The sequence below is a fragment of the Homo sapiens genome, chromosome 7 (assembly GCF_000001405.40).
Source record: "Homo sapiens chromosome 7, GRCh38.p14 Primary Assembly".
NCBI lineage: Eukaryota > Metazoa > Chordata > Mammalia > Primates > Hominidae > Homo > Homo sapiens.
Genome location: NC_000007.14, coordinates 53,306,611 through 53,320,001, shown reverse-complemented (window position 1 = coordinate 53,320,001; position 13,391 = coordinate 53,306,611). Strand labels below are relative to the sequence as shown.

Genomic DNA, 13,391 nt, shown 5'->3' with positions numbered 1-13,391 from the left:
TAAAAACACACGAAAAAAAAAATCTCTGATTCTTGGTTTCAAAATTCTATGGAGGCCCTTCTCACACCATTCCGTTTTCTGCGTTTAATTAACTACTGTGCTAGAAGGTCCTCAGGGCCATGCTTGTGTCTTCTTCATCATTGTAGCGCTAGTATTTAAAAAACAGCTGGGATATATTAGATGGGAAATAGATATTTCAGGGATTAACAAAGAAATACAGTGCTACAATAGCAAGGGTAAGAAAATGTGAAAATAGTTTAAATTGCTAACAGTATAAAAAAACAAATTGATATTCAAAAGACTGGTTTCTATTCAAATATTAAAAGGATAGTTACAGAAGAGTATTTCTGGATTTGAAAAGATACTAAAAAATTGCTAGAAAAAATCTATTATTCTACTCAAAAGAAAACTATCTGTGGTTGAGATGGCAGATATAGGGACCACTATTTTCACTCTGGTGGCTTGTCTTGGTGTGCTTAATATTCGATATTTTTTTCTTTACTTCTATTTTTGGAATTTTCTCAGATTACTCAATAGTAATTGTGAAGTGGAAATAAAAGTGAAAGTACATTTTAACTCCTTAAAACATGATTATTAGAGTAAAAATCACCTCTATACCATAACTTTTGCACAAACAAACGTGTGAAACCAATTTTTAGAGAATTTTTCCCTTTCTGTCTGTGTTTTTACTATTATTATTATTACTACTATTATTTTAGAGACAGAGTCTTGCTCTGGTGTCCAGGCTGGATTATAGTGGTATGATCATAACTCACTGCACCCTTGGATTTCCGGGCTCAGTTGATAACTCCTGCCTCAGTCTCCTAAGTAGGTTGAACTATGGGCTTACACTACAATGCCTGGCTAATTTTAATTTTTTTTGCAGAGACAGGGTCTTGCTATGCTGTCCAGGCTGATCTTGAACTCCTGGGCTCAAGTAATTCTCCCATCTTGGCTTCCCAAAGTCCTGGGATTAAAGCTGTTAGCTACCACACCCAGATTTATGATTTTTAATATATGTTTGAAGTTGCTTTTTAATTTTCTTATCTGTGTGTTTCAAAAGTATTACCACTATTTTAAAATTAGACTTACGCGATTATAATTATTCTACATGAATGTCACAGAGAAATTTATTTATTTACTTTGTAAATTTTTTGCAAGGTCTTGCTATGTTGCCCAGGCTGGACTCAAACTATCCTCTGCGTTGGCCTCTGAAGTTGCTGGTATTACAGGTATGAGTCACCATCCTGGTCCCATTACAGAGACATTTAAGGTACAAATTTGGGAGGAATGTTTAAAACGTACTGGCTTCCACAATCCAGATAAGAGCAACAAAGGCACATATAGCCACAAGAGTTGTGGTAAAAGCATTTTCTATAACATTCCAAATTACTTATAGTATTATTAAGATCTGCTGCTTAAATACTGCATAACTATGCTTCAATTTGGCTGCACTGTTTCTTCTTCACATGTTAACTCTGTTTTTCATTATTTTACTTTTATAAGATTACAACTTTACCTTCAAGCCCGAACACTTCATTCTAGCTGTGTAGTCTTGATAATATGGTTAAATAAACTCAATGCTGATCACCTAGATCATTCTGCCAAAGTTTCTCCATCCCTGAGATTTTCCTGTGATTTACTTTGTATTGGCTGGATGTTTGGGTTGTTGTTTAATTATCTTTTGTTTATTTTGTTTTAAAGAAGTGGAACTGAGTACCATTTTGCTGGATTTATTTGGCTATTGTTGCTTGTTTTTTTCTTTGAGGTATATAGCAACGTGACTGGTTATAAATATTATTAGATTAAATTTGATTTCCTGAGTTTCTTCGTAAAGGTGATTCTCTACTCTTCTGGCATTGAGTGATCTGTAAGAAATTCTGAGGCAAGAATGAGTTATCTTCCATATCTGTAGGGTGACCTCCACCATAGGTAACCTGCTCTTTTCTGCCGTGGTGCTGTTTAAGGTCTGTTTTCTTTTTGAGAGGGAGTCTTGCTCTGTTGCCCAGGCTGGAGTGCAGTGGCACAATCTCGGCTCACTGCAACCTCCACCTACCGGGTTCAAGCAATTCTCTGCCTCAGCCTCCTGAGTAGCTGGGATTACAGGCACCCGCCAGTATGCCAGGCTAATTTTTGTATTTTTAGTAGAGACGGGGTTTCACCATATTGCCCAGGCTGGTCTTGAACTCCTGACTTTGTGATCCACCCACCTTGGCCTCCCAAAGTGCTGGGATTACAGGTGTGAGTTACTGCGCCCAGCCGGGTCTGCTTCTTTAATGTCCTTTTTATCCACCTAGAGATGAATTCTGCTCCCATGGGATTATTCCTCCAAATCAGATGGATTGGGCAAAGATGGACTCCCTGATGGCCCATTCTGCCTCAACTAAAATCTCCATTTACTGTGGTGGGCATCATTATTTTCTCCAACCCACTTCACCATTCCTTAGTCTGTTTCTCCCCCATGATGTGCTTAATATCAATGAGAAATTGTCTTTTACTGACCCTCTCTTTTCAATATAACTTTAGCGATTTGGACATAGGTAAGGTCAGGGGCCACATCATGTTGCAAGGCAATATTCCATCTAGTTCACGCCTTGCTTGCACTGACTGACATGGCACTTGGTTTTATCACCTTTTCATTTAACTATCTTCTGTTGTTATTTTCTAGCAATAGATGCTAATTTGACTTGATTTTATCAAGATCTTCTAATTTCTATTTTTAAATTAAGTAAGATGCCCAAATTTAGGAAGCCTGTACTTTTTTGTATTTTACAAACAGAAAAAAATTTGTGGAATGAAAGGTATTTGCAGATAAGATGATATAGAACAGAGTTCAGCAAATGTTTTCTATAAAGGGCCAGATAGTAAATAATTTCAGCTTTATGGGCCAAATCATCTCACTTTCACACCACAAGGCGCAAGAAGCCACAGTCAGCAGATGGCATGACTGTGTTTCAAGAAGGCTTCATTTACGGACTCTTACATTTGATTTCTACATAGTTTTCACATGTCACGAAATAATATTCCTCTTTTATTTTGTTTTGCTTTTACCTGTTTTAAAAAGCAAAAGTCATTCTTAACTCATGGTACAAAAACAGGTGGTGTATTGGATTTTGCCCATAAGCTGGTAGCTTTCTAACCCCTGTGGTCAACAGCTACACTTTGGAAGTTTAATCAGCGTGGTTCTTGAACAGATGTCTTGTTTTGTTTCTTCATCAGACAGAAGCTTTCTCACCATCCAATATGCATTTAGGATTTAGATGAATAAAAATGCTGAGTGTTTAGCTCAGGGTTTCCCCATAGATGAGAAACACAAAACAGACACAACAGGAGACTTGTTGAAGTGTGCAGGTAAAGGCTGCCTTGGTGTAGTTTTCTTTGGATGGAAGAGACTTTTAAACATGTGATACCCAGAAGACAAAGATTCCCTTTGAGACTTTTCCTTGCTGTCAGCTGTGGATGCTTCGCTCCTGTTTAATGTTCCCAGCTGAACCCTGAGAGGTTGGAATTATAGACACAGCACTGTATTCATCTTGATCTTTTTTAATAAGATTTGTAATGATATCTCTTTTGCTAGAATTTAATCTGTTTTTACAGCATCCACAGATACTAAAAAACTTCCTTGTGACATTTTCAGTGTGTAAGGTTCACTCAAGACATGACTTCTCTCTTCTGGTCCTGTTTTGATGGCAGATATGAAGATTTATTACGCTTTCTCTCATCTCAGTAGACACATTTTTGTTACTAAAGAATAGCTGCCCTGTTACTCTGTGGAATGTTTCCAACGCCTCAGGGCACAGCAGGAATGGTTGCTGGTGAAGGTCTTGGCTGCGAGCTCCTCAGGCCCGGCTCTGCCTGCCAGACACAGAGTCCCCATGCCACCTAACCCCTAGGCTTGGCAGTGTCCCCAGATCTGAACCCCAGGGCAGGGCTGTTTCCTTTACAGCAGCAACGCGGTTTAGTCCTAGTATTTGTGTTAGTCAGAATGTCTATGCTTTTCTATGGTAACAAATCAACCTCTAAATCTCAGCGATCTAACACACTAAAGACTTATTCATCCATTTCACTTTCTAGACATTTAGCTATTTATAAATTACTAAAAATAATTTTTGAATACTTTTTTTTTACAAAATATTTTGTACTTTTCTGTTTATTAATGATGGTTTGAGATTTACAGGTGCTTTTGAAGTATATTAAAATGTGTGTATACACACATACACCCACACCCACATATATATATGAGTTTCTTAAATGTCTTTGTGCTCATACTAGCTTTCAGTACATGGGTATTAGTTGAATATTATCCTAAATACTCTATCCTTTTTCTGATTTCAGTTTTTAGATGTTAATCGTTTTCTGATAACAAAATCATTATATACTACTCAAAAGAATGTGGAAAGGGTCCAAAAGTCCAAGGGAGAAAGTGAAGAGCGTCTACACAACCGCAGACCAGAGAATGCCGCTGCAGTGTGCTGCGCTGTGTTCTTTCAGTCCTTGGCATTATCATTTGGAACTTTAGACAGTTTTGAAGCAAAAGTGGTTAATGTGTTGTCATTGTTTTCATCTACATTTCTGTAATTACTAATAAAAAAAGCCATCTATTTGTATAATTTGAAGTTATTTATGTTACATATCATCATGTTTTGAGACTTTTGTCTGTTATGGAATTAATCATTTTCTAAATGGTTTGTCTGAACTTTTCAGGTTATTGATTTTAGCCATTTTCTGTCACATTTGCAATGATTTTTCCAGCTTATCTTCTCAGTTATAATTGTATTCATTACATTTGTATTATTTGCACTTGAATGTCTATGCTTTGTTATACCAAAAAATTAACCCCTAAATCTCAGTGGCCTAATACACTAAAAGTAAATTTATCTTCAGTTCCTAAAGCAGGTGTTGTACCATCCATAGCAAATCTGGTTAAGTAAGGAGGACGGAAATATTGGGCTTTTTGGACATTGCCATCACGATACAGGTCTTGTATGTGTTGTCACACCAGGACAGAGAGAACCCCAGGAAGGACAATGCATCCTCTTCTGTTCATCAGCCTGGAAACTGCACACTTGCTACACTTGTCTAATTGGGCAAACCAGTCCCTGGACTCCCAGGCACATGGCAGAAAAGACAACGTGAATCTTCAGCGAGCAGCAAAGGACTCCGCTGCAGTATTCTGCTGCAGAAATTTTATGATTTCATTTGGAAGCATCCAAACTTACTTTGGCAATTGCTTTGTTAGACCGTTATGTTGTACCCTTTCCTTCCTTTCATCTGCTCATCTCTTGGCTTGGACTAACTTCATCTTTTTTTTCAACCTGAGTGCTCCAGTTCTTTCTGCAGGTCACAGAGCGATTGGCACTTCCCCTTTCATGACTTCTTGGTCCCCAGAGCAAATCCACCTTTTTATGCTTCTATGCAGAAATCACACTGTATTTCTGAAACATCATTTTTTTATTGTGTGCATCTCTTCTCTGGGTGCCTTGGAGGAAGGGACATATTGTTTCTGTGGAATGTCTGATTCCATGTGTGCACCTCAAATAGCACTCTATACAGTGGGACAGACTGGAGTGCAAATGCCTTTCATAGCATTTATTATTGATGGAGCTTAATAATTAAGTGGTCAGCCACGGCCTTTATTATCTCATCTTAAAACTAAAGGTACAAAACCAAATAACAAATTTTCATAGGAATTAAATAAAACGGCTTATGCAAAATACAAATTATGGCACCCAACATAGATTCAAATATTAAGTTTCAATTTTTTTAAGTTCTCCTTTATCTTCTTTCTTGCACAGTTTCTTATGTGATAGAACACTAGAATATTTTAAGACTCTTTATTATATGGCAAAATGCTTTCCAAATTTCATTTATTTATTTACCAATTATACCATCTTGTAATAACTGTCAACAAGATATATTATACCCTACTTAATATTACTTTTCTTATATTGACTCAATTTTAGTTACAAGACATACTTTAAATGAAAGTTTTATATATTAACCTTAATGGAAAACCAGTAACACTTGCTATAAATAGAAGGTGACAAAACAACCTTATTAAATTAAAAATTTAATTGTAAAATAAAAGCAGACTATAAATTGTAGAACACTTTAAAATGATTGTGAAAATGCTCATTGGAAAATAAGTTCTTTAATGAGAACTTTTGAAATATTTGTGATGATTCAGTAATAAAAAGATATTTGGCTCAATATTGCTTAGTTAAATATGCCATGGTGAACTGTCTAAAAGAAAATTCTTTTTTGAAATTTTCTGATGTTTATTTGCACTGAAAGAATCCAGACTCAGATATGTAACTTAGGGAAACACAAAAACATTTAATGAATTTCTTGAGAGGTGTGAACACTGACACAAACTACTGTAACAAAATAATAGAAATGACTTTTGGTGCACAGATTTTTATTTCAAGATGCTGCCTTCTTAAAATGATCTATCCTATCATTCATACTGAAAGGTTTAATAAAATAATGGAAGTTCTTACAATGTAAATAAAATAAGAGAATTTCTCTTAGTAAATCAATGAGCTTCATAATAAAACAATAATCAATTTAGTCTCTACCCACTTATTTATATAAAGCTGAGAAAAAGTAAAAATTTTCAATATCCTGCTCTTAATATGGCTGGCAATTATCTAGCTTTCATCAGTATATCTCCAGAGTGTTCACACACGATCAACTGGAGTACCCTTTTTATATTACACTATGGTACATGGATGAAAGTCTCAGATTTGACACATCGTTGCATTTGCATTATTCTTATTTACACAAGTGCATTGCTTATTGTGTGTTTTACTGTTCACAAATCTCATTTTATTTCTACAAATTGGCAAATGTTGAAAAAGTACTATATGCTCAGGGCTTTTCTTTACACCTCCAAGCTGATAAACACCAAAAGATTTGCTTCACAATAATGGTAGTTTCATCCATGTACAATGGAAGCTATTGATTCAAAAAGAAAAAAAAAAACAGAAATTACAAGTTTATATATTTTGGCTGAATTTCTAACCCTATTATGCATAGCGGTTTCTGACAGAGGTATCTTAACAATCAATTTATTGCTTTGTTCATAATTATAAGTTTTACCATTTCTTATAATTTTTGCTATGTGTCTTTCCAATTATTTTGGCATCTCTGGCCCTTGAAACTAAATATGAAAGTATAATTAAGGCTTCATGGTTTTTCCATGTTCGGATTCTGTCACACTGAGCATTCATTTCCAGGACACTAGAAAATCTTTCTACTTTCTTTAAAAAGTTCAATTAGTTTTGCATGATATTCTTTGTGGGGTTTTTTTTTTTTTTTTTTTTTTGAGACGGAGTCTCACTTGTCGCCCAGGCTGGAGTGCAGGGAGTGCAGTGGTGCCATCTTGGCTCACTGCAAGCTCCACCTCCAGGGTTCACCCCATTCTCCTGCCTCAGCCTCCCGAGTAGCTGGGACTACAGGTGCCTGCCACCACGCCTGGCTGATTTTTTTTTTTTTTTTTTTTGTATTTTTAGTAGAGAAAGGATTTCACAGTGTTAGCCAGGATGGTCTTGGTCTGATCTCCTGACCTCATGATCCACCCTTCTCGGCCTCCCAAAGTGCTGGGTTTACAGGCGTGAGCCACCGAACCAGGCCTCTTTGTATGTTTTAAAATGAGCCTTAAGGCCTGATGCTTTCACTACAGAATATGAATGTTTACAACCATAAGACACACAATGAAATAATTCAGTCACATCCTTAGAAAATGGAAACACATATTAAAAACAATAATCACCTTCACATTGTTTTTATTTTTTTATAGCTGGAAATGTAATAGCATATGTATACATAGAGAAAGAGTGGCAATTTAATCATCACCACCACTAATGCATACATTATAATCCTCAATATTGAACATTAAAATGCTCTGATTTTTAGATTTTTGTAGCAGAATATGTATGTGTATATGTATATGAATTTCCATTAAATTAAACCCTTTAATTCTCTTCGTCAAAGAGTCTATGTTCTTCCTAGTGCTTTGCCTACTCGATTGATCAATGTCTAAGAGAAATTTATTAAAATTTTCCCCTCGTTGCTGTGGAATTCTTATTTTTTCTTGTATTAGGATAGACTTTTGCCTATGTATTTCCTGTAAATACATAAGTTACAACTTCTAGTCCCTCTTGTTGGGTTGCCTCATGTATCTTTATTACAGTACCCATATTTCTCTATCATCTTTTGCTTTAAATTCTACTTTGTCTGGTATTAAAGCACCACTTCCAGGTTTTAAATTGTATACAGGCTCGTAGCCATTGTTATGCTGGTAAATATTTAACAGCTCGTTATCATGGTGAAAAGCCCTGATTTGAAGAGTTCGCTGGTTTCCATGCTGTAAATACTCCATCCACAGAGAACATCTGCTCCCCGGGGCCAGTGCTGGCTACCAGCACACCGCGATTTACATCCTCTTATTTCCCACATGGCAAATGTTTTTTCCTAAACCATGTTAGCTTCCCCCAGTTAGGGGGCTGCTCCATTCCAGTCTCTGCCTCTCAGCTCTAGTCTTCACTCTCCAGGGTCTGACCTTAGGCTGTCTCCCGTTTGGGGATCTGCAGTCTCATCTGTCACGCCTGCTTCTGGTTCTGAAATTCACCCAGCCTCAGACTTCAACTCCTACTCATGGTTTTGCATCTTTTATCATGGTACCTTTCTACAATAGCACATTTAAAATAGAATCATAACTATTTTAGTCACAGTTTTTGCTGAGTTTTAGCTGATGTATTCTGAGTCAGGTATCAGACAGTAATGTTCCTTTCATGAAAAGAAAGTGCCTGAAAATTAGTTCTTTCAGTCATATCTGATCTCCACCTTATAAAATAGTTTGGAAAGCTTGAGCAAATAATTTAAGGTTAGGAAAGTGTATTAGGAGAGCACTATCTGTGTGCAGGGAGTCTTGCACTTCCCCCAGGTTGGAGTGCATTTATGAGTGTGTATGGAGGGTGGGCGAATTTGACTTTTGTTTTGTGTTAGAAACATCAGTGGAATCACCCAGAGGAGGCATATCTGGTGCCAGGACCTTAGCACACTGCATAGCCTGCTCTCCAACAAAGATGAGTAAAATAAAGGTGTGAGCACAGAAATGGCTAGCTGCAAAGGAGATAAAACTGAAATGGGATGGACTTGTGTTGCCAGAATTTGTCAGACCAAAATATGCATGAGTGTTTTCCCTGGCCTGGAAATGGATTAGATGAGAGAGTAGTCAGGGCTCCCCTGAGCTTCTACTCCAGAGGGCCCCTTAGAGGACTGAGGGGCCTGCGAGATGATGTGGAAGGGCTACCGTGAGATGTCTAGCAGCTAAGAAGGAAGTCATAAGTGACCAGCAAGGAGAGAACGGTATTTATTTATTCAAATATAATGAGGGAGATTGCAAAGAACCCATAAGTGCACACTATGACAGAAAAAGTCAGCTTCAACTCTGGCGGAGCCCAGAAAGCACTGGAACTCACCATTATATTGGTGGAAAAGTAATTTGCCTATTCCCTTTCCTCTCCTCCCTCCTTTCACCACTCCCTATTCTTCTCTGGATGGGCCCAAAGCAGCATTGGTTAGAAAAACATGTTATAGTGGTAAAAGCAATCAGCAAGGACAGAGGGGAAAAGCCAACCACTCCTGTCATCGCCTTAGTGTGGACTGGAGAAACTATCTAAACTAAGGCTTAGATTGTGACGTAAGACTGGACATATCAATCACTGAACTGAGACTATTTTGCAATTACATGACATTGGAGGACTTTTTATTATCTGAGAGTAACCAAAGAGTAAGTAGAACCTACCCCAAATTATGTCCACAGAGATGGAAAAAGTAGTCCTGCAAAGTGAGGTTTTACAGAAGTAACAGTGGTGTAGAGGAGGTTATTGTGTTGCTTTTCTGATTTCGATCTAGGACTCTTAACTATTCAATGTAACAGATTAGTTGAAGTTAAACTTATGTGTGTCTCTTTTCTTCCTTTCTTTATATGCATATTTTCTATGATAGCTCCACGGGTGGTGTAGGGAAGTGATCAAGCATAATATCACCGCAATGCATTGACCATGAAGCCCACCAAATTTGCTTTACAAACAGAACATAGCAGCAGCATATCTGCCTTTTAAAATATCTTTGGTGAGATATTTAATGGCAAGTTAAAAATGAACAAATCAATAAATACTGCCCTATTGCCACTCTCGGTCACTTAAAATATAAAACCTGTTTTTGAAGACTATGAGTAATTAAGTTTATTCATTTGATCCAATGTTTCTGGATGTAAAACAAATACACAAAGTGTACTTTGAGTTCTTCTGAATGGTTACTAGAGGTAGCGTCACACTGTCTCACTGTTGAAATACCTTCTATATCTATGAATGAATAGGTCAATGTTGGAAGGAAAGATAGATATTGCTAAGTCCAAAACCTTTGACTCCACAGGTAGAGAAACAAACTCAGAGTGGTAAAGAGGCATGGTGATTTCACATATTTCCATCCATCCACTCTAGTGGAACTGACTTAAAAAGATCTAGAGTCTCTTTTCACTCCACCATTTACCAGCTGCACTACTTGTGGAAAGGCACTTGATGTAACAAAAGCTCTATATTCTTATTATAGAATGGGAGAAGTGCTATCTCTCCATCTCATAGAGTTGTGTTGTAGTTGGGATGATGGACATGTGTGAATTCACTGGAGAACCTGTACCTTTAATACATTGTTAATGAAAACAATAGCTTCCATGCTACTAAACTATAAAAATTTTGTTAGGTACCTGCTTAATGATATCCTAAACAATAGTATTTTTTTTCCATAGCAATATAACATCAAAATTAAGGGGAATTGTTGGAAGAGCTTGCTATCTAGCTGGAGCCCAGAAAGAAGATGCCAGCCAAAGAAGGTCACTTGTCCCACAGTTTTGGCATATCTGCAGTAGAGTTGAAAGATGTCTTCACAGGAAACTAATGTAAATACATAAAGAGAGGTTAGAATTTATTCTGACTTAATTATCTTAAATACTTTCCTCTTGCTTTTTTTTTCAAGAGTTTACTTGTTAAAGAAAAAGAGTTTACTTGTTAAAAAAAGTTTACTTGTTAAAGAGTTTACTTGTTTAAAAAAAAATGTAGTCATTATTTTGACAGTAAAGACAAAAGCACTGACACCTAGAGGTATTTCTTAAGTCAACAGTAAGGATGGAATAAACCACCTGCAAAACCTTCCCAGAAGCAGCCCATTCTAGCCTATACTTTGAAGAATGGACTAAAAGTTGAGCCAGGTTAAAGATCATCTCTGACAGTGCCAGAGATTTGAAATCTCATTGTAGGGGCACCAGGGAGTTGCTGTACAACTTCCCTCATTAGGAACCTGGAGACTCTCTTATGGCTCACTTAGAGATTTGACCACTTGGTTTTAGACACACACACAATTTCCCATAACATCATGGAGAAACTTGTAAAGAAAATGGGAAAATATGCTTTAAGTTGGCCATCCTGACAGCCAGTAGTAGTGACCACTGAACCATTACATTACACGTGTTTGGAAGTATTCATTGTATCTGTATACTCTTCATTTTTCAAATTACAACAATCCTCAGGAGTGATTTTGTCATTGTTTACTCATAAAATTAATGCATCATTTAAATAAAGAGCAGAATTAACATATCCAGTGTACCATAACTATAGAAATATGTTACTATAACAAAGTATAAAAGAAGTAACAGATGGGTATGTATTACAGAACAATTTTGCCTTTCCTTAAATGTGCTTATAGTAAAACAAAGAAATGCAGATTTAAAAATACATGAGTAAAACATCTTTAAGAAGAGATTTTAAACATTTATCCATTAAACATCAAATGGTCTGTTTTGTTTTATTTCTGCAGAACATTAAACTTACGGGTTTTTTGTATTGCCCATTGAAAGTCCCTGGTTGGATATATTTCTTGCTGTAAGTAACCACACCAATCACTTTGTTCAACCTGTTTACTTTACAGATTAATAAACAGAGGCCAAGAAAAGATTATGCCTTGCCCACAGTTTACAGTTAATTGTTAGGAAAGGCAAATATAAAGCCCAGACATTTGGCCCTAGGTTTTTCCCCATTTTCTACACTGGATATGTTAATTCTGCTCTTTATTTAAATGATGCATTAATTTTATGAGTTGCAGGTGACTGGCACCAGACATAAAGTCATTTTTCTGATTACACCCTATTCCTACAAGCTTTTGTATATGTTTTTCCTCTCAAGCCCTTCAATATTACTGCGCTGTAACAAAAAGTAATAAAAACTGCACTCATAAAATAAGACATTATTTGAATAGTTTTTATCTCTCTCTCACAAACAAAGGGTTCAGGTAGTTGGACAGATGGCTCAAGGAGAATTGAGAGGGTTTAAAAGTAATGAGGGGTTTGGAAAAGAGTCCTGACAGGAAAAAATTGAAAGATTTTGAGGGGATACTAAAAGCCTACCTCAAAACAGTAACAATGAGTTTGTCATGGGATTAATCTGTAGGGTGATGCTATTTTTTTGCCCAGTTTTGCCATGGTCTCCTAAAGGGGGAGAGATATGGCCAAGTAACTGAGCTTATGTTAAAGGGAATTTGTAATAGATTACAAAACTAACTACAACTATTCACTGCTCTCTGATGCCACACTCCTTGCAATGCAATAATGCACCTCCTCCTAAGGCATGGAGTCTATTTCTCTTCTCTTCAAATCTGGGTGGTTCTTGGGACTTGCTTTGATCAGTACAATGCAGCAAAAGTGATGATATGCAGGGTTACATGCCTGGGCTCCAAGGAGACTTGCGTGCCTTTTGTCTTTCTCTCTTGAAATCCCTGCTTACTCCATAAGACCAGGCCCAGGCTAGCCTCACTGAGAATGAGTGAGCATGTGAGCAAGACCCAAGCTGATGCAGCTGTTTCACCTGAAGCTCCCAGTGATGTGATGACGAGCACAGCCACTGTCAGGAAAGCCACCCGACAGCTCACTGCTGAGTAAGATACATACTCTAGGGTGGATGAGTGAATGTATGAAAGATTCCATTCAAGACAGACTCAATTACTCACTTGAAGAATTATGAAATAAATACATGATTGTTGTTTCAATCCACAAAGTTGTGGTGGTTTATTACACAGCTCCTTTTAGTGCTTATTAGGGAAACTGCTTTGGAAGAAACCAAAGTGAGATAAGAATAGGGATGATAAACTTAGTGGAGGTGCACCAATATTGTTAGAAGGATACTGAGGCAAGACACTAAATAAAAGGAAAAAGTTAAAAATCGGGCTTTCAGGGATTAGGGTGCCAAGATATATTTGAGGAGCTCCACATAGGTGATAACTGACCATTGCTTTTGTAATCCATGGCTACATCACTTTTCACGTCTCTGTGACCC

General features: G+C 37.0%; 1 pseudogene, besides 2 other annotated features; it reads right to left on the bottom strand.

Moving 5' to 3' along the window:
* RNF138P2 (ring finger protein 138 pseudogene 2) lies at positions 3,283 to 3,797 on the bottom strand (annotated as a pseudogene).
* Positions 3,356 to 3,856: an enhancer, noted in NCBI's record as "H3K4me1 hESC enhancer chr7:53383839-53384339 (GRCh37/hg19 assembly coordinates)". NCBI's record gives its function as "activates a minimal SCP1, AML or CMV promoter by ChIP-STARR-seq in naive H9 embryonic stem cells {active_cell/tissue: H9 hESC(naive)}" and the evidence as "EXISTENCE:reporter gene assay evidence [ECO:0000049][PMID:30033119]".
* Positions 3,857 to 4,357: an enhancer, noted in NCBI's record as "H3K4me1 hESC enhancer chr7:53383338-53383838 (GRCh37/hg19 assembly coordinates)". NCBI's record gives its function as "activates a minimal SCP1, AML or CMV promoter by ChIP-STARR-seq in naive H9 embryonic stem cells {active_cell/tissue: H9 hESC(naive)}" and the evidence as "EXISTENCE:reporter gene assay evidence [ECO:0000049][PMID:30033119]".